The 27,000-nt window shown below is 52.1% G+C and overlaps 1 protein-coding gene across 26 annotated transcripts in view, besides 6 other annotated features; it reads right to left on the reverse strand.

Annotated features, from left to right (window-relative positions):
• Positions 1-25,795, reverse strand: part of CTBP2 (C-terminal binding protein 2) — a 178,147-nt gene extending 152,352 nt beyond the window's left edge. For 9 of the 26 annotated variants that reach the window (NM_001321013.2, XM_011539358.3, NM_001290215.3 and 6 more), the window contains exon 1: positions 21,967-22,109. The gene's annotated coding sequence lies outside the window, so the exon portion shown is untranslated. Of the gene's footprint in view, positions 1-1,542; positions 1,729-15,105; positions 15,167-15,537; positions 15,614-21,966; positions 22,110-23,188; positions 23,290-23,650; positions 23,896-24,158; positions 24,363-25,659 lie in introns of those variants that run through there. The other 17 variants (XM_047424679.1, XM_047424677.1, NM_001329.4 and 14 more) reach the window with 7 other exon arrangements.
• Positions 973-1,571: an enhancer, noted in NCBI's record as "H3K27ac-H3K4me1 hESC enhancer chr10:126826210-126826808 (GRCh37/hg19 assembly coordinates)". NCBI's record gives its function as "activates a minimal SCP1, AML or CMV promoter by ChIP-STARR-seq in naive H9 embryonic stem cells {active_cell/tissue: H9 hESC(naive)}" and the evidence as "EXISTENCE:reporter gene assay evidence [ECO:0000049][PMID:30033119]".
• Positions 1,572-2,170: an enhancer, noted in NCBI's record as "H3K27ac-H3K4me1 hESC enhancer chr10:126826809-126827407 (GRCh37/hg19 assembly coordinates)". NCBI's record gives its function as "activates a minimal SCP1, AML or CMV promoter by ChIP-STARR-seq in naive H9 embryonic stem cells {active_cell/tissue: H9 hESC(naive)}" and the evidence as "EXISTENCE:reporter gene assay evidence [ECO:0000049][PMID:30033119]".
• Positions 8,484-8,593: a silencer, noted in NCBI's record as "silent region_2923". NCBI's record gives its function as "represses an Ori minimal core promoter by ATAC-STARR-seq in GM12878 lymphoblastoid cells {active_cell/tissue: GM12878}" and the evidence as "EXISTENCE:reporter gene assay evidence [ECO:0000049][PMID:35858748]".
• Positions 12,632-12,926: an enhancer, noted in NCBI's record as "tiled region #360; K562 Activating DNase unmatched - State 14:Gen5'". NCBI's record gives its function as "activates a minimal TATA promoter and a strong SV40 promoter by Sharpr-MPRA in K562 cells {active_cell/tissue: K562}" and the evidence as "EXISTENCE:reporter gene assay evidence [ECO:0000049][PMID:27701403]".
• Positions 14,811-15,772: an enhancer, noted in NCBI's record as "NANOG-H3K27ac-H3K4me1 hESC enhancer chr10:126840048-126841009 (GRCh37/hg19 assembly coordinates)". NCBI's record gives its function as "activates a minimal SCP1, AML or CMV promoter by ChIP-STARR-seq in primed H9 embryonic stem cells {active_cell/tissue: H9 hESC(primed)}" and the evidence as "EXISTENCE:reporter gene assay evidence [ECO:0000049][PMID:30033119]".
• Positions 24,666-25,275: an enhancer, noted in NCBI's record as "H3K27ac hESC enhancer chr10:126849903-126850512 (GRCh37/hg19 assembly coordinates)". NCBI's record gives its function as "activates a minimal SCP1, AML or CMV promoter by ChIP-STARR-seq in primed H9 embryonic stem cells {active_cell/tissue: H9 hESC(primed)}" and the evidence as "EXISTENCE:reporter gene assay evidence [ECO:0000049][PMID:30033119]".
• Positions 25,796-27,000: the final 1,205 nt, after the last annotated feature.

Genomic DNA, 27,000 nt, shown 5'->3' on the forward strand with positions numbered 1-27,000 from the left:
AAACAAACCCTTGCAGAGAATGTGACTCACTCTATCTTCAACATGCACCTACTACACAGCAGGGGCCAACGAACTTGAAGTCATCAGTTGACAGTTACAAGACACCGTCCAAACGCTGCCTATTAGTCCCCCCAAAACAGCTTCACTAGCACAGGGACATCTAGGGGCAGAGACGTAAAACATTCTCCCAAAATGGTAACAGGATGTTTCCCTGATGGCGTTGCCCAGGGCCTTGAAAGAGCCGGGAGCGATTTCAAATGGGCTCCGGGCTCGTGTCAGGAGCAGGAGCTGCCTTTGGTGGGACACAGGTCACCAAACCTGACCCACCCAAATCTTCAGCACTGACATCACCGCCGAAAACGAGAAGTTTGTTTACGACAAGGTCTCATATTCCTGCTTGTTCTTTACCTAAAAATCTAAATTTCCCATGTGGGTCCTTACACATCTGTATCAACAAAATCACAATTCGCCAAGATACTGAAAGCACCAACAATTTCTGAGTTTAAGGAGAAGAGACAAAGAAATCAAGACAACAGGAAGAAGGATGCAGGAAGATGTCACCAGTTTGCTAGGACGTGGGCCTCAGGAGTCAAGAGTCCCTTCTGGGGGCAGCGGCTGTGGCCAAACCCAGAGCAGAGTCTCGGGAACCCCTCAGCCTTATTTCCCAAGGGGCCTGGGAGTCCCTGGTGACTCTGGTGGGCTGGTCCTGAATATCCCAGCTCCTCTGTCCTCACCATCTTGTCAACCCCACCAAGGCTGCAACCAGTTCCCTCCAAGGATGGTGACCTGCACATACAACATCAAGGCACCGACTTTATCTTTTAAATGCACAATGTGCTGGAGCCAAAAACAAAACAAAAAGCCTCTCCAAGATGCTTTCCTGAAACACACTAGGCTGAAAAAATGGAGCCCCATTTCCTCTTATTTTTAATTTTACATTGGCTGTGTTTATAATAAAATAGAATAACTTATTTATTTGCTTACCTTACTTGGAAAGACAATAAATTGGAAAGGCTTCATAAATCTCACAGGGAATTCCTTTCAACAAGGACTGTCAGCAAAAATCCGTAAATAACCTTCTGCCAGCCTCTAGCAATCACCTCCACCACGTTCTTTTTCCTTCCTGCTTTTGTACTAATCTTCTAGCAAACAAATCAAATCACACACCAAAACGTTTTTATTCTTATCGAGGTAAGGCTCACAAAACATCCGGAGTCCACTGGGGCTACTCACTCACGTGGCCTCTGAGAAGACTCAGATGCAGAGAAGACCCCAGGGGACCGCGGGAGGGGCACCTCTGCACCCTCATAGCCAGCCACGCTCCTCTCACTAACTTACAAAAACAGAGGTGGTGATTAGCTTCAGAAGCGGAGCCAGAGATGCTCTTCTAACAACTGCAGCATTAATTCCATCTGGAGCAAATCATCCGCAAAGCCCTAGACACACACATGAGGAAACAAAGTCCAGGGCAGGTTGCTGATAGGTCCCGGTGCCTCCTCCCACCCAGACTTGGCTGGTGTCCACAACGCAGCCTCCGCTCACCTGGCTCCCTTATAATCTCAGTGTCGCCGGAGCTTCTGGTCAAGTGCACTCATCCTGGAGCCGACTGAACCAAGGGAGCCAACGGAGTCACGCTGGGTGATTCGAGACTATCCCAAGCAACACGGACCTCATGCGGCAGGTCCTGTCCCCACCACGCTGACACTTGAAAGGCAACTGTTTGAAACTGGTTCAAATGGCTGTGTTTGACTTGAAACACATCCGCGTTTGGTGGGGCTGGTGAAAATGACCTTCGGCAGTTCAGAAACAGCGGAAGATGGACAGTCTCACGCTGAGGTTTCAAGGACTGTGCTAAAAATAAGATTAACTAAGAGGCAGAGAAGGAGGCTCGTGGATAATCAAATGTGTAAGATTGGAAAGAGCCGCTGTAATCAATTTACATATCAGGAAAGGGTAATTACCATAACCAAAGGGAAAATTTCTCCAAGCCAAATGGTTAAAAAAAAAAAAAAAAACAGACCAGCAAACCACTACCCGAATAAATGTAAAACAAAAATGTATGTTTCCAGCCAGGATGTCAAATGCCTTTCAGGCTCCAGAACTACAGAGTTTCACCCTGCGACCTTGATTCTTGGGTGCAAGATGACGAACTTAAGAACTCCAAACATACCTGTGCCCGTCCGTCTCTTCACTCGGCTAACTGTGCAAAGGAACCGGCTTCTGATGAGTCCCACTGTGGTTTCCATACAGCAGCTGCCAAAGAGCTGTGTGTTCCTGGGAAAGTCACTGAGCTTCTCTGAGTCTACTTTGTCTCTAGCCTGTGAGTGGTGCATTAGCCATTACTATTATGCATCTACCAAATACATCTCCATCTTCCCTGCTTGGCACATTCCTGGCACTCAACAGACAGTAGATACTATTAGCCAGGCGAGGTGGCTCACGCCTGTAATCCCAGCACTTTGGGAAGCTGAGGTGGGGAGATTACTTGAGGCCAGGAGTTCGAGAGCAGCCTGGCCAACATGGTGAAGCCCTGTCTCTACTAAAATACAAAATTTAGCCGGGTGTGGTGGCGCACACCCGTAATCCCAGCTACATGGGAGGTTGAGGCATGAATTGCTTCAAACCAGGAGGCAGAGGTTCCAGTGAGCCGAGATTGCACCACTGTACAATCACTGTACAGCCTGGGTGACAGAGCTAGACTGTCTCAAAAAAAAAAAAAAAAAAAAAAGATGGTAGCTACTATTATAATTATTCCACCAAATTAATGTATTTCTAATATTCTTGAATGAGGGCAGAGGATTTTCTTAAGTGGTCCCCTTTCAAAGTGATTTAATACTGCACACCCCTAAAAGACTGTCTGCCTTGTTTTTTTCTCGACTGTTCATTAGCCCCTGTTTTTTGGACTCTGGGAGCTTCCAGTCTAGGCCAGCTGGGCCTGGGCATGTAATAGCAAAAGCTACTCACCTGAGCAAGCACCGCTGGAGGGGCTCTCAACTCACTTCCCTCCAAGTCAGCTGGAATTTTTGGATCCACCCAAGGGAAGCAACTTCCCCACCCAAAGTGTGGAGATAGATGTGGAGCCCCAGAAGGGTTCTGGGAAAGCATCCTGTATCCAGGACACCATGAGGCCTTGTGGCTGCCTAGAACTGCGACCCTACTGTGCTCACAGCTGCACATCACAGAGCACAGGTGGCTGGTGACCTGTGAAAAGGTCCCCAGATCACCTTTCCAGACAGTAAAGAACTTTGCTCTCACCATCCGAAAGCAGACCGGTGGCCACACACATTCGCAACTTCCACTCAGCGTCTAGCACACCCCTTCCCCAACCCTTGCTGAACTGTCCCTGAACCCTTAATAAAGACACGATGGGGTGTCCACCCACCTTTCAGCTACTAACCCCATGTACCCAAGTGTCCTCACACTACACTGGGAAGCCCCGCTGAAATCTGCTAAGCTATGTATGTCTTTGGAGGGTATGTTTCCATCACACTCGCTGCATGGCAGTTTGTTCACAGACGACCACCCAGAAGAAGCCAAGAATGCTTAGACATTAATTTCAGGCCAGGAATCAAGGTCACATTTAGTCTGAGCTCAAAGGCATCAAAGGGTTTTCTCATACTGCAAATGCACGCATACAAGATGCACCGAGATCACGGGAATGCCAGTCAGGGCTGGCCAATCACGATGACTGCCGCTTAAACCTGCCCTCAGCCTGACTGATGTGATGAGGGAAGGGGACAAAGAATGAGCTCCGAAAGGACATTTCGGGCAACGACCAGAAAATTAGCAAATGCAGTGATCCCCACTTAACAATTTTATAAATTCCAAGACTCATTTCAAGTTTCTCCCAACTGAAAGAAAATAATATCAAGGGCCGGGTGCAGTGGCTCACGCCTGTAATCTCAGCACTTTGGGAGGCCAAGGTGGGTGGATCACCTGAGGTCAGGAGTTCGAGACCAGCCTGGCTAACATGGCAAAAGCCCATTTCTACAAAAAATATAAAAATTAGCTGGACATGGTGGTGGGTGCCTATCATCTCAGCTACTCAGGAGGCTGAGGCAGGAAAATCACTTGAACCCAGAAGGTGGAGGTTGCAGTGAGCCAAGATCACACCACTGCACTGCAGCATGGGTGACAGTGTGACCCTGTGTCAAAAAAACAATAAAAAGAATATTAAAAACCATGACGTGGCTGGGCATGGTGGCTCACACCTGCATACCCAGCACTTTGGGAGGCCGAGACAGGCAGATCACTTGAGGTCAGGAGTTTGAGACCAGCCTGGCCAACATGGTGAAACCCCATCTCTACTAAAAATACAAAAATTAGCCAGGCCTGACAGACTGGCTGTAATCCCGGCTACTCGGGAGGCTGAGACAGGAGAATCGCTTGAACCTGGGAGGCAGAGGAGAGGCTGCAGTGAGCTGAGATCACACCACTGCACTCCAGCCTGGGTAACAGAGTGAGACTCTGTCAAAAAAAAAAAAAGAATAAATAAAAATAAAAACAAAAACCATGAGGCAATGAGTCAGTTGCAGCTTATATCCCAGAGTGCAATAGGGACTTCCTGCCAAGCATCTCCTCTGCTGGGCACCTGGGCACAAGTCTCCAGCGCCTTCTCATTACCTCCTCCTGTGAGAGGAACTAGTGACTAGCGTCCTATTTGACGCATAAGGAGCTGGCAGGGTTGAAAGTGGAGCCCAGGACTGCAAGCATGGCCATCTACCCTCGGGGCCGGCACCAGCCTCGGGGCAGCTGACCTTCCCCACCTCAGAAGCTCTCATTCCTCTGGGCTTTCCACAAACCACCCTTCTTGACCACAAAAAGGTGGCCATCCTGACTGGTCTCTACCTTCAGGAAAACAAATGGGGACCTGAGGGCGCTCAACCACCCCAGACCACCCAGAAGTCACAGGAGCACGGAACAGGAAGCAGGGAGACAGCACACAGTAAGCACATGGCAAGCACACAGTAAACACACGGCAAGTACATGGCAAATACACAGCAGGTACACAGCGAGCACACAGTAAGCACACGGTAAACACTCAGCAAGTACATGGCAAATGCACAGCAGGTACACAGCGAGCACACAGTAAGCACATGGCAAGCACACAGTAAATACACAGCAAGCACACAGCAAGTACACAGTGAGCACGCGGCAAACACACGACATGCACACGGTTAGCACACTGCCCGGCTCCCTCCAAAGCCACTTCCCCCACAGAGAAAGGAGAAAGCGGCCCTGGCCTGGCAGTCACTCACAGTCCCTCTGGACCTGGAGCCAGCGGCTATGGCGGACGAAGAGGCACCTGTTCCCAGGCACTTTCCAAGAGGGGCTGGTGGGACACAGTGTGGAGAGGCAGCTGTTGTGAGTGTCCCTGGGGAGCCCAGGGAGCATGGCCTTAGATGCACCAGGGCCTGCAGGTGTGGCCCAGAACTGCCCACTCTTGGGTTTGCAGGGGACGGGGGCGGTTTGCCTACTTTGCGGAGGAGGTGGTTATCTGCTGGTTTCAGACACGACTCAAGACTGCAGTGACTGGCTTTTGGTCCGACCTGTCCAGACGAGCCAAGCTCCTGGAGTCTCAGGCATCCCTAGGATGGCACTGGGGAGAGGAGGGGTGTCATCCAAGCCAAGTCCATCTGCTGTGACCAGAGCACCCCTGGGGCTCATGCATAATCCTTGGATATTACAAATGTCCTGGAAATTACTGGCCTCTCACACCAGCATCTACCAAACTCCTCGCACTTCCTAGGCTGGCCCTTCTACTATCAAAAAGGAGTGATTTCCTTAGTGGTGGCTGGAGGCTGGGAGTCAGGGCGGGGAGGCAGGAACTCCATAGGAGCACAGAGAACTTTCCTCGGTGATGGGATGGTTCCGCAACCACCCGGTGGCGACGCCTAGATCGTCAAGACTTGCAGAACTGCATGCTAAAGGGTGTTTTACTGTATATAAGTTATTTCTACATAGGATTTTGAAAACTTGATCCTTCTCAAAAAGCAAATGATAAAATTAAATGACTTGCTTTATGCAGTGAACTGTGAAATCCTCTGCGGCCCCCAAGAGCTTTGCAACTGAGGGGTGGCTGAGCCAGCACACACCCCACCAGGCTTCCTTGAAATCAGCAACACCCAGAAGACACCAGGAGGAAGGATTCTGTGAAGCACATGCTCGCAGAGGCTGCCTGAGATGCAGCTCCGCTTCAGATGGTTTACTCAGGGAAAATCATTTCGTTACCTCCCGTGGTTTAGTGGCCAGGACATGGGAGCTGAAAGGACACGCGAGCTTGAAAGGCTCCTACCTTGGGTTCCCTCTCCCACATTTACCCTCAGCACACCCCCTTCAGCCTAACTCCAAACCTAATGTGGCCACCTCTGCCCACCCCAGCTCGCGGAAATCCACCACTGTTTTGCTGAACTCCAGATAAACCCTCCTTGCTCTTCTTCCCTGTAGCCCGGCAGCCCCCCCACGACATCCCGCACACAGTAGGGGTGCACCTTCATTCCACAGGCAATGTTCAGAAGAAGCAAATTCGCCTCAGCCGGCCGGGTGTGTTGGCTCACACCTGTAATCCCAGCACTTTGGGAGGCTGAGGCAGGCCGACCACCTGAGGTCAGGAGTTCAAGACCAGCCTGACCAACATGGTGAAAACCTGTCTCTACTAAAAAATACAAAAATTAGCTGGGAGTGCTGTAATCCCACCTACTCAGGAGGCTGAGAAAGGAGAACTGCTTGAACCCGGGAGGCAGAGGTTGCAGTGAGCGGAGAACTCGCCACTGCACTCCAGCCTGGGCTACAGAGTGAGCCTCCATTTCAAAAAAAGAAAAAATTCACCTCAATGGCACTGCATTATCACACCATGTAACATGTTGAAACCCTATGTCTAAAATATTGTATACCTATTTTTATTTGATTTACTAAATTCTAAAGCTTTTCTAAATCTCTAAAAGGTAGTTTCCCCAGTAATGCATAACTGCTTAATCGGGAAGTGTACAAAACATAATTACACTGCCTAAAACTACAATATTGCTTATGGGAATATCTCCGTTCATGCATTCCACTTTATTTTGTATTTAATCTCTATTAAGATGTCTATGTGAAAACAGATAGGTATTCTTCATAAACACCATAAATCATAAAGTCATTTCTTTGCTAACTCAAGTCCAAAAGCGGCCCCAAAAGAAACTGCCAGGGCCCCAAAGACTATCACTTTCCATATTCAAGCAGACAAGCTCCTTGCACAGAGGCCTCAGTGCAGAGCCCCAAAACACCTAGCCCTGGGCCAATTAGTCAGGTCATAATTTCTCTCACCATAAATGGCTCTGCATGCAACTCAAAAAGCACCCAGACGCTCCCCAGAAAGCAGTCACTCAAACCAAGAAGAGCAATTCCTTTCTGCTCAAGACCCCAGTTACAAACCTCATATCAAGGGGCAAACAGAGTCCCTTAAATCCTTCTTCATCTAAGGACACCCGTGGATGCTCTTTCAAGTTCACCTTTCAACCCGGGGGACTCCCACCAAAGGCTCCAGACTCTTGAAACTGGATTCTCCTGCTTCCCTTCTGGCCTTCGAATTTGCACCCACCCGCTCATCCCTAGAATGGGGTCATGTGAATACACAACCATTCTCTGGACGGCCTGGTATTGGTGGAGGAGAACCAGTTCGGATCTCGCTCGATCATTAATTAACTGTGAGCCCAGCCTATGCGGCTTGCCAATTCCTCAAGTGGGAAATAATCGCACTGCCTCACAACAGGGTTGTTACTAAAAATAAAATAAGCCAATGTATAACAAAGTACTTCTGCAAACAGAAACAAGCTAGGTTACCAGCCTCGCTGAAGCCTACTAATTAATAAATTCCCCGATCAAGATAAAAAGGATTTGCCACAAAACGAGTTCACTCTCAGTTCTAAAACAGCAGGTATCACTCCCAAATCCGCTTGCATCATGATGAAACAGGCTAGAGGCACAAGTGAGGGCCTCGGGGGCGCTCCTGAAGGTTAAGCATATTTGCCTGCAGTGGGAAGTAAATGCACCTTTTGCTGATCCATGTTCTTGCTCACACGGGCCAATGTTAAAAACATCGACTCTGTGGCATCCATCTTTGACTTGTGTACATAGATAGTAATAGTGTGCTTCACTGAGCAGTTCAGATTTTACTAAAATATAATCTGCAAAACCAATTTCTTTTCTAGCAGGTATGCTCTGACACTGCCCAGCCTCATCTCAATACACACTGCTGCCCGGTCAAGAGTGAAATGTCAAGTGCATCTGAATACGGAACTAGCTCCAATTTTATCAGACACCCAGGAAATTTCCTCTGCCTTCCTAGAAATGCCTGGTAATGTTGGAGGGTGGAGAATCCCTCTTCAAAGAATGAGGATGAGTACAGCAGAAATCCATATTCCAAGTTTCAAATAATTTAGTGGGTTATTTGAGTTATATAAAATCTTCTTTCAACCATTTTTCATGCCAAATGTTCAATAACTAGACTCGAGTGTGTGGGTGTGTGTTGGGGGAGTGGTTTGTTTTTGAAGAAAGCCAGTCTGTGTGCTGCTGTTGGCAGTTTCGGGCTGGCTGCATCAGGCACCCCCTGGAGGAGGTGGCTAAAAATACAGATGTTAGGGCTTCTCCATCGGGACGAAGGGTGGGGCCCTCAGGAGACTCCTGGCCAGGGGTGCCTTGGGGACGCCCCTGCTCCAGAAGCCAACCTTTTGAGCACCCCCAACCCCAGGTACCAGGGCCTCTCTGGGGACTGACTGAGTCACTCGTGAAAACCACCAAGCCCACCCAAGCTTCGTAGTATTAAAGGTATCTGCTGTCCCTTGGGGCAGGGTAGGGCAGGGCACGGCAGGGGGCCAGAGAAGGTTGCTAGCACTTATCTGCTCCCTCCTGATAAAACAGGGCACAAACAGCCACTCCCTGCTAGGAAGAAGAAGGCACAGTTGACGGGAGGATTTGTCTTTCTCAATGACATTCACGCCACCATAACTACTGGGATTGCCATGAATCCTACTACTATCACCACCACCACCACCAGCACCACCGTCCCTAATAATAATAATGGTAACAAACAGCTAGCGTGGGAGCACTTCCCACATCTTATTCATTGTGCACACTCTCCAGGATTTGCAATTGAAGAATATGACATTCTGGCCCCAGACCCCTGGTCCCTGGCCAGCTGAGATGCCCTTGCATTCCAGCATGGGTGGTTTCCCAAGGGCATTTTCAAGGACCATTTTGCTTTTCCAAGTGAGATTTTTTTTTTTTTTTAATTTGAGACAGAGTTTTGCTTTTGTTGCCCACGCTGGAGTGCAATGGGATGATCTCGACTCACTGCAACCTCTGCCTCCCAGGTTCAAGTGATTCTCCTGCCTCAGCCTCCCGATTAGCTGGAATTACAGGTGCCAACCACCATACCTGGCTAATTTTTGTATTTCTAGAAGAGACTAAAATATAATCTACAAAATCAATTTCTCCAAAACTAATTAGAAGAGACAGGGTTTTGCCATGTTGGCCAGGCTGGTCTTGAACTCCTGACCTCAGGTGACTGGCCTGCCTCGGCCTCTCAAAGTGCTAGGATTATAGGTGTGAGCCACCATGCCCGGCCCTAAGTGAGATTTTTTTTTTTTTTTGGAGACAGCGTCTTGCTCTGTTGCCCAGGCTGGAGTGCAATGGCACGATCTTGGCTTACTGCAACCTCTGTCTCCAGAGTTCAAGCAATTCTCCTGCCTCAGACTCCCAAATAGCTAGGATTACAGGTGCGCGCCACCACGCATGGCTAATTTTTTGTATTTTTAGTAGAGACAGGGTTTTTGCCATGTTGGCCAGGCTGGTCTCAAACTCCTGATCTTAGGTGATCCACCTGCCTCAGCCTCCCAAAGTGCTGGGGTTATAGGCATGAGCCACCCCACCTGGCCTCCAAGTGAGATTTTTTAATAGCATGAGTTGAATCCAAAGAAACTGCTGGTCCATGAAATGACCAGCCCACTCTGAAGGTGACAAACTAACTGCCGGACAGGCACCTTCCTTACCCCACCTTGCCATTTCACGCACATGACCTACTATTCACACCTGGAGCCCCACAGGAAGCACAGAGCAGTTAACACTGGCTGGGTGGAGAAAAGATATTTGAACATTTCAATCAGAAGACATTTGGTGATGCTGTACGCACATGCGTACTGTGCCTGGCCCCTAGTGGGTGCTCAGTCAGTATCTGTGAATGAATATCCTAGGAGGACATGATTAATTACCACCCCATTGCCAGGGCCTGGGGTCAGGAACATGCTCAAACATCACAGCAGATCTGCCACCCAGCTGCACCTGGTCCAGTTACCACAGCTGCTGCTGACTGAGCACCCACAAGAAACCAAACAGGATGCCACCAAGCAAGTCGACAGCCCTGGTCACTGACCGGCAAACGCACCCATTCCTCAGGGACCTGGGAGGGTGAAGGGAGCTATGATGATGACGTGTGCACAGAGGGAAGGGCAGACACAGTTCCTTTTCCTCAACAAATATGCTCCTCGGAATGTGGCCTGTCATGCCCACGTTCACTGTGGTTTATGTACTGAGGCCTCAGTAGAGGAGAATTCAAACCTGAGCGACCCTTCTCAACAGGCTTCACCTGGGCAGGGTGGCTGGGGCAGCACTGGGCCCCCACCCTGGCTGCCCATCAGGCAAGGCAGTTTTTTTCTTCCTTCTCCAGGAAGAGAAAGTAGGTCTTAAATAGAAAGTAAATATTTTACTGAGCGTTTCTTGGAGTGACCTAATACGTAGTAACATCCCACAGACTAAAATTAACCTCGTGAACAGTTTTCAGTTCATTGCTTTGGGCCCCAGGAATCAATGAGAAAGAAGACGGCTGCTCCCAAACTAAGCCAGCCCCACCAGCCACTCCCCTTCCCTACCACAGGGCACGACATCTTCCAGGTATTTTTAACATAGCACCATGACAGGCTTGGCAGCTCACACCTGTAATCCTAACACTTTTGGGAGGCCAAGGAGGGAGGATTACTTGAGCTCAGGAGTTCATGAGCAGTCCGGGCAACATGGCAAACCCCATCTCTACAAAAAATACAGAAACTAGCCAGGTGTGGTGCCCTGTACCTGTAGTCCCACCTACTTGGGAGGCTGAGATGGGAAAATTGCTTGAACCCGGGAGGTCGAGGCCGCAGTCAGCCGTGATTGCGCCACTGCACTCCAAGCCTCGGCGACACGGTGAAACCCCCATCTCGGGAAAAAAAAAAATTCTAACAAACACATACGGTACGTCAGGCCAGTTCTAAAGGCTTTAGAAACACTACTTCATTGAATCCTTACAACACACCCTCTCCTTACCCTCATTTTACAGATTCAGAAACCGAAGCCCTTTGCAAAGGCCTCCCAGTGTGGGAGAGAAGTCCAGCATTTCTTTCCATCCCTTCTTTGCCACACTTCCTTGTTTTGCCTCTACTAAGCTCTAGGAGGGCAGGACCATCTCTCCTTGGGCCGAGCCTCAGTGTTTGAAAGGAAGAAAGACATTCACGACCTTCCAGTGGGACCTCTCTGGTCACCAGCCACCAAAGTGAGCACAGCAGTTAGCTCAGTGCTTTCAAAGTGCGCTGCCGGGGCCCCTAGAGCAAAACTTTGGATCTGAGCCAGGACCCTGACATGCCAAGTAACCACCAGGTTGCAAAACTCCCAGCTACAGGCGTGACCAAAAAGGTGGTCCATGTGCTGCTGCAGCCCCCTTCCCACTAACCACAGCGAACCCAGGCTCTCCCTCCCACCTTGCCCGCTGCTCTAGAAAACAAAAGAGAATTAGGAAAGTAAACTCCTTTTTAAGCTTCCTTGCTGAGAAATATTTTAAAAGACTGCTCTGAGGGGCCAAGTAACATACGGGATTTGCTTCTAAGCTCTCGGGCCTGACTGGGACACAACCAGGGACCCAAAAGCACAACTGGGTTGAGTCATAACCCCCCTCCCTTCATCCTCTACGGACATGAGAGCCTCAACTAAGACATTCTCGAATTTACCACAGGAGTGTCTTCCTTTGCCCACTATTTGGAGCCATGTGGCCAATTTAGGATAGAAAAATATTACCCACTATTCAAGGCCTTCCTTAAATGCTGAGGAAGACATCACTGCAGACACAATTCCAACTTTAATTGTGAAATCTCCTGGCTTTTGTCACTTGAAGCCTCATTCTTAATCCCAGGCTTAGCTGAGAAATGAGAAGGATGTGTGCAAGTGGAGGAAAAAGAATCCTCAACCCTGAGTGAAAAGCATGCGCCGTGGAGGAGCGAGGAGAATGGACACTCTGAAGATGCTAGGGCTGGGAAACAGGGTGCTGGGGAAAACTGGCTCGCTGGCCTCAGAGCTGCGGCAGGTCCACCACTGCGCCGTGTTCTGCTGGAGGAACCTGGATGCCAGCTCAGTGGATCTTCTGCCCAGCGCAAAGGATCCCTGAAACCTGGAACAGGACAGGGGACACACCATAGACACGACATGGGCTCTGGAAGACCACTCACAAGGCCCGGCTCACAGGAAATGACCATTCATGGGAACCTGCACGCCGCAGTCATTCTCATGCTTAGATGCCACTTTCCAAGCAACAGCCTCTGAGAAAGCAGCTTCCCCCTTCTCAGTGTCCCAGTGAGGCACCACAGAAAGGAGAGGGCTGGCCCAGGGATGATCCTGGCCCCACCACCCTCTTCCAGGTGGAGTGAAGTGGAAGGAGACCTGTTTAAAAACTGCAGGGGGCACTTAAAATGGGCTGACTCTATTCATACCCAAGCTGGAGGTGAGCCAGGACACCGGGACTCACATGACTGATTTGTCAAGAGACTCCTCCCAGCACTTCCTTGAGTCATCCACAAGACAGAGCAGAATCCAAAGGCCAAGATGGAGGCGGGGGGCACCCAACATCCACACCACCCCCGGCCCCACCAGAGCCCCAGCGGAAACCAAGGATTTCCAGAATACACATGTGCTCACAAGTGTACACACGTGTTCACAAAAAGAAGAGAAGGGTTGTAGAATAGGAAGGTAATCTTATAAAGAAAAGCCTGTTTTTCAGGAAAACCTTCACCTTGTGGGGACCTTACCCTCTATGGAAAGCCAAGGTCAACCTGGGAGCTCCCGCATCACCTGCTCCGGGTACTCTTCCGGTGGAGCGGGGCTGGTCTCTGGATTTGAAGACACACCCAACTCTGTGCCATTCCCTGTCAGTTCTCTGATAGCCTCTTTGAAAAGAAGGCTGTTCCCTTTGTTCAGGAGTATTAATTCAAATTCCTTTCTAAGGCCCACACCACACGGATGCAGGGGAGCGACCCAAAGGAAGTTCACCCGGCAAAACCTAGTTTCTCCCTGGTTTTCACAGGAGTGGTGCAAACAGACTATCACAGTTAGGAGAAATCCTAAGCATCTTCCCTGTCTCTTGACCCCCAACTCCCCAACGTGGAACCCACAAACCAGATCCTATTTCAGGTGTGCACATGGCTCCAGTTGAATGCCAGAGGCAACCAGAGTTGGGGAGGGGTGCATCCCATGGACCCAAGCCCTCCCTCGAGGGAGATGGGGGGTGGAGGGCAACTGAGATCACACTATCCCAGACCACAAACATGGTCTTACCTATTGATGAAATGATACCTGGCCACTAAATCCAATTTTACCACATGAAACCCTAAGCACTGTGAAAGCTACACACATAACCCCAGGAGAGTGTGCCCATGCATTCTTGGAGTGTGGGGTGGTGCTGCATCAGAGACACACAGATGAGGGCAAGGGAGAAACAGCTTGGGAGGAAAGAAGGAGTCTAGTCTTGGTTAGTGTGGCAAAGCCATCCCCAGACATTCCCGTGTCCCAGTCAAAGGCCACAAGAAGCCTCGGTCAGCCACAGAGAAGCCAGAGCCAGGCGAAGTTGGTAGTAACTAGCCAGACTTAATTACCTAAGCTCCCTGGCCCTGACTCTTCATTGGTAAAACAGTGACTAACTATCACCTGTGCCTCTGCGAGGACAGCGCTGTGCTTGGCCAGGGCTGGAGAGCCGATCTCAAGGCAGGTGTCTGGCCTTTTCCCGGACATAGTGAGTCTGTGATCCAGAGTCTGACCCACGTATTCAACGGGGCCTGCCTCACTTCCTGCTCTAGGATGTTTTACATTCACTGCACTTTTGGAGTGAATATTCACAACAGCCTGGCTCCTGTTTGGAAGCCTGAGGCAGGCCCCGTTGAATACGTGGGTCAGACTCTGGATCACAGACTCACTATGTCCAGGAAAAGGCCAGACACCTGCCTTGAGATCGGCTCTCCAGCCCTGGCCAAGCACAGCGCTGTCCTCGCAGAGGCACAGGTGATAGTTAGTCACTGTTTTACCAATGAAGAGTCAGGGCAACGCAACAACACACAATGGCCCAGCGAGCTAGTGCCAGACACTAAGTAAGTGCTCAAGAAATGGTTGCTCTCTAGTTACTTGAATAACAGGTAGAGCGCACTTGAATGGCTGCATAAGTTTCTGGAGCACCAAATTAAGTCTGCAAAACATAGAGGCGAACACAGAAATTCCTCCATGGAGAAGACGAGGGCAAGACGAAACGGGCCAGATCGCACCGTCCTACCACTCTGCGCTCGGACAACCTCTAGTCACATGCCTCGCCAGGCTTCAGGTGTTGGGAGCCGCCGGGGTGAACAGCAGAGAACGCAGCAGAGGCGCGCAAATGTCACTCGTCCTCGACGTGGAGTTCTGCTGAAGGTCTCAGTGGCCCTCGCTGTTTCCCACAGCAACTGCCACTGCGCTATTTGTACTACAAGGAAAACACCCAGATTCGAAGGTTATCCAAGAACCGTGGTCACCCCCAAACACTGCCCAGGAGACGAGATCCCAAGCCGGTCAAGTGGAAATGATGCCGCTGTTTACCGTTTGCTTGCAACTCAGCCACCATCGCGCAGTCAATCAACGAACCTCACCACTCACCACGACCCCAGGAGTCCCCATGAGTGCCCGGAGTCCGCGACCGCTGCGGGGTGGAGGCGGCTCTGGCCTGGTGCAACCAGGTCCCCGCCCCTGCTCTGAGCCTCGAGTGCGGGCTGGGGGCCAACCTGGTGTCCCGCGTGGTCTCGAGGCTCCTACCTTGCCGGGGCCTCGCGGACCGGAGAGGGGCCGGCGACCCTGCTGGCTTGAGGCGGCGTCTAGCTGGACCCCCGCCGCCCCGGGTCCGAGCGGCCCCGCCCAGCACAAAGGCCAGCGGGAGGAAGGAGGAAGTGGGCACGGAGCGGGGGGAGGGGGCAGGGCCCATTCTCACACCTCTCAACGACTTCCCCGCGGCGGGAAGCGGCTCCATTTACAAGTGTAAAGGCGAGGCGCGAGGTGGGGGGGCCCGGGGGTGTCAGATACCGCGGCCCGCGGAGGGGCCAGGGTGGGGCCGCCAAGTGCCCTGCGGGGGGAAGAGGGCACAGCTGGGGCGGGGCCGCGCCGCCAGGTGTTCTGGCCCGCGGGGGCGGGGCCTCCAGGTCCACCCGCCGGGAGGAGAGGGGCGAACCCCAGGGATGGAGGGGGCTTCACCTGGGGCTCGGGAGCCAGGAACCCCGGGACCCCGGGACCCCAGAAGCCCGGACGCCAGGAGGCCCGTCCTTGCAGCAGGGTGGGGCACCCCCGCGGTCCGGGAAATGCAGGAGACCCCGCCCCCTCCAGGTAGAGCGCGGCCAGGTGTGGCGGACTGGCGCTCCCCGCAACAGAAGGTCGCGCAGGACACCGGAAGTCGTCCTGGAGTCAGTCTGAGCGGATCGCAGGGGTTCCAGGCGCCCCAGGCCCCCCACACCGCGAGTCACAGGAACAAGGAGGAAAAACAGCCTCTTTATGACTTGGGGGAGGCAATTCAATATTTCTTCCTGGCATAAAATAGGAATTGCTCTATTTACCCAGCCCGCAGGAGCGTCGTGAAGATTAATGACTGTGAAATGTTTTTAAGATCAAAAACATTCCCAGATTTTACTTGTAGGCACTTATATGTGCATATTGGTATCTGTACAGCAAAATATACTCTTTATTGATTGCCCTCCTAGTGTGACTTCTATTCCGTAATCTGAAAGCCCCGAGATAAAGGAATCAGGTCTGTCTCTGCCTGCTCCTGAAACACTAGGAAATATGGGTAGGAAATGTCAGGTCAGCTGGGCATCTACGCTGAGCCTCTATCCAGTCCGCAGGGCAGATAGAGCAATCCAGAGTGCGGACCACAGCTGAACGTCTGGAGAAAGGGAAAAAACTTTAAGATTATTGGTCACCCCCCACTGGGAAGAAAACACAGTATCCTCCCCAGCTCATTAGGAGGTGCTCCCAAAGCCTGAGTCTCCATCAGGGTCTCGGGTGTTTGCAGAGCCTTGGCTGGCACTGGGAGCCAATGGTCAGCCAAGTTCTGCCTGTGCCAGGAGCCCACGCAGCCCATCTGGCCCGGCAGCTCCAACAGCAAGGCCTCCCTGTTCCGAGCAGAGTAAGGCCACATGACCGCACAGAGGACAATGTTGGGCTTCCCAGGGGTGTCTCCACTCCAGGCTGAACATTCTCAGTTCCCTCAACCGTTCCTGGGACATGGCTTTAAGAGCTCTCTCGGGCCCTGCCCGCTGCTGGCGCTGGCTGTACTCCAGGTGGGCAGGCCTGGGAGCTGGCTGCAGCAACACCAAGTGGGGTGTCCAGGATCCAGATGGATTTGCAAGCACTGCCCCCACCCGTTCCCTTGGTCTCCCTGGACCTGAACAAGCAGCGGATAAGCCGACTGTGTTTGCACTTCTAGACTGCACGAAAGACCATCCATCAGCAAAATAATAAACTCACAGCTAGAGCTCATTTAAAAGGAAAGGTGCACAAACTCCTGGCCTTTCACCCCCTCCAGCAGAGAAACCTCGAATGCTCTGTTTTCCCCTCCAAACTCTTCTCCTCTCATTTCCCCTCTCCACCCTCCCGCTGCCACACACACACCTGCGGCAGGTACAATACTATCACTTCCAGGTTAGATTCTGGCCACTTACACCATAAAATGATTCTTTGCTAGCCTCATTTTATAGATGAGATTTTTAAATTCCATCTTGGAAAAAGAAAAGCCCCATTAGGCCAGAGGAGTTGATCTCCCTCCACGGTCTAGGTCTTCGGTTCCTTCCAGAGAAACTTCCTCAGGTTCCATGACTCCATAATAAAGTTTTTGTTTGTCCTGGGACGGGACAGATTGCTGGAGGCCAGATTTCAGGCATGGCTGGAGCACAGCCACGATAAGCTGGACTTTACAAGCCCTGAGCTTGCTTGTGCTGCAGGAAGACCTACACACACTGTCTCTGTGACACATCCTTTAACGTGGCCCTTCCAGGCTTCTGCCACAACGTGGGCTGGAATGAGACACAGAAATATTGCCACTATTTCCAGACAATCTTTAAGGCAGCTGACAGTTTCTTTTAGTCATAATTAAGGATTTGTTTTAATGCAAGAAGCACATTTCTGCTGATCAGAGGAGAGCTTTGGAGGAAGCACAAATCAGCAATACAATGGAAGGTAAGTATTTTTGTATTTTATAAATGAGAAGGATTTTTAGAACCCCACGGATGAAAAGCCCAGCCCTCCCTCTCCCCCCTCACCCCTGCCTCCAGGGCTTTTCTGGACTCACAGAAGGCAACAAAACCAAAGGCAAGGCTGGCCACCACCAGGATCAGGGGCAGACAACAGCAGCTATTCAGGGTTCCCATCCTTTAAACACCAACCGATCTTTGGGAAAAACGAAGTCTCTATTATTACCTAGGACAAAAGTCACAATTCTCTATAGAAACAAAATCATCACTTGTCCCATTCATAAGATCCCAACCATTTCATCACAATTTTTGTGAATATTAAGCCAACTCTAGGCAACCATCTGTTAAATTTAGTTAGGTAAACAGCTAAAGCAGATCACTTTCTAAAACATTCACTGAGGGAGGGACTAGGCATATACACATGCAAACTACAACTGGTTCTCACCGAGTGTCGTTGCTAAAAAAACTGAACAGGCTTCAGACACCAACAATGGTTAATGATCTACATATTATCTACATATTCCACTTAAGGTGAGGGTTAGAAAGTGAGGGGCCAGGAATGCACCTCCCTTAAGCTACAGAGTTGGTTCCACTTTGGGACCTCGGCTCCCACGTGGAAGGAGAAGGGCTTTGTGAATGGGGGAGGAGCTTTTTCCGAAATGGCAGCAGCTACGCAAAACATGAACATCCAGCAAAAACTTATTTTAGCTGCATTCTCCCTAATGCTACCAACAGATTAAAAACTACTTTAAAGTCAGGAGAGGAGTAAAAATAAACACAACTTCCTCCTGTGACTTAAGATGCCTCCTTTCTGAAGTTGAATATCATTTCCTAAAATCACATTTCGAGGGGGTAGAAAAGGTCTGTTTACTTTCCTTGAGGAACTCTTACTATCTGCCGTTAAAATCGTTCCTCAAAAAAGCAGATTACTGAGAAGAGAAAGCACACGACGTTCCTTAGCAGTCCAGAAAAGACCACCTTCTAAGAAAAACTCTGGAAAGGGGGCAGGCCAAATCTCCATGCCCGGCAAAGACGGATGAATGTGCCCCTGGTTCCCATCCCGTCCACAGCTCCTGAAGTTTCTGTGTTCTCCAGCAGTCAGAAGAATGAAGGCGAAACTAGCCCTTGGCTCCCATGGTCAACATTCCACACAAACAATGGCCTGGCTCTCTCCCTATTGTACATTCTGTATTCATTTGTGAATCCCCCCTTTTTTTTTTTACACAATGTGCAAAGCCCTTCTTTTCACAGGCGAAGTTCTGAATGCCCAAGTGCAGCCATAATTTAGGCTTTAAACATTAATAATGATAGCTAAAAGCAAACTCCAGATTATGCCCAAACATTAATTTGTGAATATCATTAGAGTCACACTGATGGCTTTTGGATACTCTCCATTAAATCATGATCAAAAGGGCCACTGAACACCTTTAAAATGGTTCTTAAGTTTTTAGCAATTATTAAATATAATTTTCCAAACCCCAAGATAGGATTAAAAAAAAAAAAACTCTTTCATAAGTCTTTGATACATATTCCATCAAACACAGACTTGAATGAAAATTAACTTCAAAAGATGAGGTGGGGAGGAGAAGCCTTGCATTTTCCCTTCTTTCCAGGAGTGCTGTAACTTTAACTTGCAGCAGCGTAAATTAAGACATGCTTACCAGCTGTAAGGGAGAAAACTGATATCTGCCAGGCCGCACAGTCTCTAAAAGTGTATCCATTCCAGCATTTCATGTGCCCACTAAAAGTTTTCAGCAGGGTAAGTTCACACAAGCATTCCTCCCCTAGCAATTCATAGAAAGATTGCTGGGGAAAAGACACCCCGAGATTTCACCACATGGGTCACTTCCATTAAGTACAAATACTTCTTTTTCCAGGGACAGACACACTGCCCTCCCATTTTTTAGTTACTACAAAAATATGTTCCACCCTGTGTAACAGACCTACCATCCCAAAGTGGAAATATTACCTGAGCTGTGCCCTGCCCAACTGATAAATTTCCCTTCCCAACCATGTGCTGTATGAATATATATTTGTGGCCTGATTCAGGGCCACAGGACACTAGGGCTGCTGCTTTTCCCTGATAGATTAACAGAGGGACCCAGGCTGCATGCACATACATTATGATGACAGCCCCTCTCTATGGAAATGACAGTGGTAAAAAAATGACAACTGGGGCTGCCATTCTACCATTGCTGTAAACTCTTTAAATTTTTTCCATTTAGGGAAAGCGTTAAGTGCAAAGGGTATAACTTTGCTTTCAAAAATGATTCATGATGTTAGTGAACTGTTGGCAAATGGCATTCTGGTGCTAGATCTCAGCAGGGCTACTCCCTCACTCAGAGGTGTCCTTTTCGGTTTTTTTTCAATCCGTGAATCTCAAGGATTTCAAATAGTGTGAGCTGTTTGTATTTTAACAGCAATGGTAACAATAAAAATATCATTTTAAAATCCAGTGCACTGCTTGTTCAGTACATACTATATATATTCATCATTTCTTTGCCTTGTAGCTGGCTACTCAGAAACTAAAAAGTTGTAGGTTGATTTTCTGGTTTTGTTGTTTGTTGTTGCTGTTTGTTTGTTTCATTTAATCTCTCTTTGAAACATTTTCCAGACTTAAAAAGTAAAATTTCTGGAGTTTTAAAAGTTAAGACTGAAGTTATTGATTATTCTCTGAAAGGGTAACTGACAAACTAGTTAATAATTATACAGATAGCAAGTTTTACCGTTTCATCTTGTGTACACGACCAGATTAACAATGGCAGGGAAAGCACACACAACTTGGCAGGGACAGGAACAGGTGTGCCCCGACTCTCAAAAGGCCAAAATATCTCACCAAGTATGTCACTGGCGTGTTTTTTACAATGGCAGTAGTGTTTGTTTTTAACTAGCCAAACGTTCTTACTTTCTTAACTTTAGAGAGATGTACTTTACGAATATCTTTCTCTTCACGGAATTGATGATTCAGTTCCACACATAAATTGCAACTCGTGCAAGGAAATGATTTTTAGGGACAATGAGGCTTTTTAAAATCAGTTAAGAAAAGGTAATTCACCCTGCCCCTCCCCGCAGGAGAACACCCATTCAAGGGTCAGTTTCAAAGCTCCCAGGCGAAACCGTAAATAACTCACAGGGTTCTGCATTCAACCTGCAGACTCTTATTAAGGTACAATTAGAGAGGGGGTTGTCAGGTGGGGGTTAAAAAAAAAAAAAGAGCGGGGGGGAGTCGGTATTCTTTACCTTATCTTTCTGAACAGGAAAAAGAATTAAACCCAAACCACCTAGTCAGGTTCAAAACAAGCTCCAAACCCAAGATCTTTTAATTCCCTCTAATAACTGCTTTCCACAGGGATGTAACTGGGGTCCCCTACCCCTGGGGCACAAAAAACCAATCAGCGCCATAAATTCCCTTTGCCTTCAACCCTCTCTCCCTTTTACAGGGGGGCAGGGTAGGGGGAGGGGGTGACCCAACATCAACACTTACACTCTACAGAAATATGCTGGCTTATTTCCTTTGTTTGCTCATGTTATACTTGATCAAGTGTGAACGATTAAACTGGTTTCATTAAAGGCAAGTGCATTCACGGCTAACATCCAACTTCAATGGCAACTGTAAGCATATTTTGCAAGAAAGAGGGCCTGTTTTTTTGCTTGAAATCTACCATCTCATTAACTTTTCTTTTGGGGGCAATAAAAAGGGCACTAGGGGTTTTTCAGGAGAATGTCAGAGCAGTTCAGAGATCTGATGCCAGACAAAAGAATATTTAGCGTTTCAACTCTACGATACAGTCTCTGCTAAAGAAAAAAATTCTGTTTCAACATTAAAGCAGCTATGACTGAAAATGTCTAATTAGCATTTTGACTATTACTTTATAATTGCTGTAAGAAGTATCCTTTGAAATCAAGTGATTACAAAAACAAGATCCTTTAAAGTCTCATTACTTCAAAATAGAAAAGATTTATATTTAAAAAAAAAGGGGGGGGTTAAAAACCTCAGAATTCTCAAAGTACATGAAAACTACCCACTTCTACTTGGAAAACCCTCGAGGCAAAACAGCAATCTTAGGTACTGAACACGAGGTAATTTTTAAACTGTCTTCGAACCCAAACACCTAGTAGAGAAAGCTATCTTTTTTGAAAGGGTGGTATGAGTCGATATATTTCGCCCAAGTTAGAAAGGCAGAAAGAATCACTTTGTAAACTTCCCCAAAATATAACGTCCCCTCAAAATTATCCATGTCAGATAAAAATATACCAGTCTCTAGAATATCCAACAGAATTGCAAATAAGGCGTTTAGCATTTTAAATTCCCAATGCATATTTATAGAATAGAATTCTCTTGTCTATCCTTCCAGCCACTCGCATCAGACTCTCTAAGAACTTAACCCGATCTCCAATCTTTAAAGAAAAAAGGGGGTAAATACACAGAAGGATTGTTTACCCCGGACAGGGCAAGGAAGCCCGGTATGACGACGTAGGCCATTGCCAGCAGCCTCCACCACGAGCACGCAGAGCGGGGATTTCTACGAAAAATTCCTCCTCTTCCCTATAAAATCCTAAACGTGGGGTCCTCTGCAGCCAACTGCCGCTTGGGCCGCCTCCGGAAAAAGTACCGGGCGGGGGGAGGGGGGACAACCACAAACACTCGCGCGCACACGCTCACTCCGTGTCCGCGACCGTCGTCGCCGGCGGAAAGCGAGCCACGGGAGGGAGTGTGTGCGCGCGTGTGTGTCTCGGCGCGGCCCGCGGTGACCGAGCTGAGCTCTTGGGCCCGCGGCCTCCGAGCCCCAGGGCGCGGCGTGGGCTGCAGGCGACCCGCCACGCCGCTGGGCCTCCCGCGGGAGAAAGGCCCAGGCACGCCCCGGCTCCCGCGCGCCTCTGCCCAACTCGCCCGGGGCGCTGGGGGCAGCGCGAGGGAGAGAAAGAAAGGCGCTTCCCCTCGGCCGCGCGGGGCCGTCCGGCGCCGCGGAGGGCTGGGAGGAGGAGGAACCGCGGCGGCCCGGCTGTCCCTGCGCCGCACCGGGTCCCTGCCGCCCGGGGCGCGCCCTAGCCAGCCCCTCCTGCTAAACTTTTTCTTTTTGATTCGCCCCACCCGAAAAGTGCGGCCCGGGCGGGGAAGGTGGGGGAGGCGGGCGGGCCGGGCTCCCGGCGGCGGCGGGCGAGGAGGAAGTGGTGCCCGCGGGAGCGCGGCCGGGCAGAGGAAATGCCCGGCCCGCCCGGCCCCCGCCCGCGCCCGCCGCCCGGCCCGCCCAGGCCCCCCGCCCCGCCGCGACTTTGGCGGGCCGAGCCCCGCGCGGCAGTGGCGGCGGCGGCAGCGGCAGCAGATGTGGCCCGGCTGCCCGGAGGAGCCAACAATGCGGGGCCGGCAAAACAAAAGGGTTCCACTTCGCCTCCTTTCCCGTCTTTCACTTGCGCTCCCGGGGAGCCGCGCGGGATCCCCCGCCGGCAGGGGCAGCGCCCCTGGGGACCGAGAGCCGCTCACGCCCCGACTTCCCCACGGAACCCCTCTTCTCCGCGCCCCCCCCACCCTCGCCTCGTAGGCGCAAGGCCCGCCGCACCCCGGCGCGCTCGGACTCCTGTTCCCCGGAGATCCGGCCGTATTGTCCCCGCGGCGCGTCGCGCGCTCGGCCTGGGTCGCCGGCGGCCCCCGGGCGCGCACCCACCGGGCTCAGGGAGCAGGAGCCGGGGGCGCCCAGGGAACCGTCGCCGAGACGCCGCCGCCGCCGCCGCCGCTGCCCTCCGGACGCCGCCGCGCTCGGGGTTTCTTTTTTTTTTTTTTTCAACCCTGATGGGAAGGAAGGTGACCGCCTACTTCGCATTCATCAACTCTCATCACAACAACAAAAATCCTGGCGCAAACGGCGGCCAGCGGGCGCAATCGGTGGCGGGGGCGGGCGGGGACCCCCGAGCCAGCGTCCACCCCCGGGCGCCGAGGGGGGACACGAGGCCGGGGGCACGGACCAAAGATGTCCTCGGATGCCGGCTCCGCGTCCTTCGCCCTCTTCCTCCTCCTCCTCCTCCTCCCTGAGTGGCGCAGTGAGGCGCGGGCGCGGCGCCCCCAGCCCGCGGCCGCAGGTGAGGCGGGGGCGGCGGCGGCCCCAGCCCTCCCCCGGGGCCCCCCTTACCTCGTCCCGGACGGTCGGCGTCCACGGCGAAAGGCGCCCACCCTGGAGGCGGCGGCGGCGGCGTCTCCCGCCCCTCCCACCCCACCCGGCGGCGGTGGCGGTGGCGGCGGCTGTGCGGCCCCCCCTCAGCGCGGCATGGCTCCCGGTTCGGTCCCTCGCTCCTCGGGCCGCCGCCGGCTCCTCCGGGCCGCTCCCGAGCCACCTTAAAATGACACACGCACACAGGGACACACACACAAAAACTTAATCTCTCCAGCTCCCCGCCCCTCCCCCTCCCGCCCTCCCCACCCTCCCTCCGCTCCCCTCCCCTCCCCACCCTACCCCTCCCTTCCCTTCCACCTCCTCCCCTCGCCGCCGAGCCTCTTCCTACTTCCCCACCCACCCCACCCCCTTCCTCCGCCCACCCGGTTCCCAATTCCCCCCGCGTCCCGGCCCCGCGCCCTCCCGCCCGCCGAGAGGGGGCTGCGCTGGGGGTCCCCGGCCCGGGCCCGCCCCGCGCCGCGCTCACCCCCGAGAGGATGCTAATTCCAACTTGGATCGGGGGAGGGAACGTCCTGGATGCCGAGCGCCTCCCGGCTATTTGCTCTTCTTTATTTGTTTTCTCCTCCGGGGAAGGAGAAGGAAAACGGAGAGAAAAGGAAAGGAAAGAAGCGGCGCTGGCCGCAGCTCCCGGTACCCGCTGGCTGCGCAGGAGCTAGGCGGGAGGCGAGGTGAGGGTCGCCGCTCGCTCACTCCTCGCTCCTGTTTTTGGGGGGGGGGGGCAAAGGCGGGGTCTCTTTTTGCAAACCAATGACACAACCCCACATGGGCCGGCCTCGCCCCCTTCAGATACTCCTCACTACAAATCGGCTCTCTCGGGGGATTAGTGGCTCCGCGAAAGTGCACACAAGCGCGGCGGGCGGGAGGGCCAGGGGCCGGGCGCGGCGGGCACTCCCTAGCCCGGCCCCGCCCGGGAGGCCCTCGGGAGGCGCGGGGGCCTCGGTGGCAGGGGCCGAGGTCCTGTCGCGGTGGCTCGGGGTCCGCTGCTCCCCTGGCCCTTCATCCTCCTCCGCCCCTTCCACGTGGGGTACCGGGCAGCCGGCCACGTGGGGGAACGCGAGCCCCGGGTGGCCCCGGTCCCATGGGGCCCCGCCCAGCCAGCGGCGCCAACCAGCCCCCTTCCCGGCCCCCGGGCTCCAACTTCCTCCTGGTGCCCCGCACCGGCCGCTTCTGCCTTCTCAGGCCCGCGGGGTCAGGCGCGGGCCGGCCACAGGGGGCACTTGCGCTCCCCAAATCCAGATCCGGGAGACCGTGCCGGAGAGGCGGCGACCGCTGTGGGTGCGCAGGGAAGGGCCCTCTGTGCTGCAAGTTGCAGCAGTGCTGTGCCCTAAAAGAAGCAAAACATTCTTACACATTGAAAAAAAAAAAAAAGGTTCCCTCTTGCTGCCTGGATCTCGCCGGGGCATTTGAGAAGCCCTGTGTTGGGTCGGAGCCCCGGGTCTCGAGGAGGGAGGCGCGCTGCGGCGTGGGGGCCCGCGACTCGGGGTCCTGGGCTTGCGCGGCGGCCCGGAGCCCACGCCGTCCTGACGTCTCAAGGTTGGAGTCTGCACAGCGAGCCTGGGAATCCAGGCCCAGCGGCCGCTCGCGGCCCAACGAGCACCTGGGCTAAATTCCCCGCCCGTGACCCGCGACGTCCGAGCGCCGTCTCCGGAAGGGAGCTGGTGGCCGTGGAGTGTGGGGTCTTCTCCCTGCGCCCCAGGGCCCCCCAAACTCTTCTCACTACCCTGAGTTCGGCGTGCGTCCTCCAAGAATCCCTGGGTGGGCTGAACTGAGCCCTTAGGATCGATTTGTTTAAAAACCCTATTGAGATATTAGGAGCTGGATTGAGATGTCGAGCAGGAAAGGAGTGGGAGGGGTCTGAGGTCCCGCCTTTGGAGGCCGCAGGGACCGCCATTCCGCGAACCCAGCCGCGCGGTGTGGTCTCCTCCATCCCTGAGTGCCCCGCGCCCTGCAGAGCCGAGGAAACTTACAGCCAGGGCCAGGGGGCCGGAGGAGAGGCCACCGAGCTGCACGACCCTTTTCTGCATCCCAAAGAGCGTTGCTCCAGGCCTCCCAGTCTTCATTAAACATTTCTTAAATCCTGCCCCAGCCCGCCGCGGGGCTTGTTTGCCAAAGCGCACCAGGTGCGTTGCGGCCTGAGCGGCCTGCAGTGGAGGGGCCGGGACTATCGAAGATTGCTTAATCACTCAACAAGATTTTAAAACGTGATTGAAGACCGCCTACCTGTGAGGGCAGCGCCGACCAGGCTTTTCTTGCCCGCTAGTCCACGTAATGCGGTCGCTAAGAAGCCCGCAGCAGGGTTTTCGCGTGACCTTCATAGGGCCTGGCCAGGCCAGCTGAGGGGCGCGCCGGGCTGCGCTTCCATCGAGGAACCTCCGCACATGCAATCACGGTTGTCTCGTCTTCTGGCAACCCTGGATCTCCACAAACTGATCTTCAGGGTGCTTCTCTCTTCAGCAGTTTTGCCTCAAGGGCATGGCGCCTCAGCTAGTTTTTGGCTGTAAACAAACCGCGGCCACCGCCAGGCTACCGGGTTACCAGTACCTGTTCTTCGGAGTTTCTTAGGCATAAACTATAAGAACTACAAATAAAGATTTTCTGCTTCCTTATTTCACAGAAGTCTTTGGTTCTGAGTGGTCTTCTTTTCTCAGGAAGAAACCACAAAAAGCCTGATTTTCCATATCACTCCTTCACTTTCACGTGTTCTATAAATTTGAATTCTGACTTAGAAAGTATTACTAACATGTTCTTGGCCGGGCACGGTGGCTCACGCCTGTTATCCCAGCACTTTGGGAGGCCAAGGCGGGGCAGAACACGAAGTCAGGAGATCAAGACCATCCTGGCCAACATGGTGAAACCCCGTCTCTACTAAAAAAAAAAAAATACAAAAATTAGCTAGGCCTGGTGGCGCATGCCTGTAATCCCAGCTACTCGGGAGGCTGAGGCAGCAGAATCGCTTGAACCAGGGAGGTGGAGGTTGCAGTGAGCCAAGATTGCACCACTGCATTCCAGCCTGGGCGACAGAGCGAAACTCCGTCTCAAGAAAAAAAAAAGAGAAAGTATAATTATTATTATTATTATTGAGACGGAGTCTCAGTCTGTCACCGGCTGGCGTGCAGTGGCGCGATCTCTGCTCACTGCAAGCTTCGCCCCCCGGGTTCAAGCCATTCTCCTGCCTCGGCCTCCCAAGTAGCTGGGACTACAGGCGCCCGCCACCATGCCCGGCTAATTTTTTTTTTTGTATTTTTAGTACAGACAGGGTTTCACCGTGTTAGCCAGGATGGTCTCTATCTCCTGACCTTGTGATCCGC

Source organism: Homo sapiens, chromosome 10 (genome assembly GCF_000001405.40).
Source record: "Homo sapiens chromosome 10, GRCh38.p14 Primary Assembly".
Taxonomy (NCBI): Eukaryota; Metazoa; Chordata; class Mammalia; order Primates; family Hominidae; genus Homo; species Homo sapiens.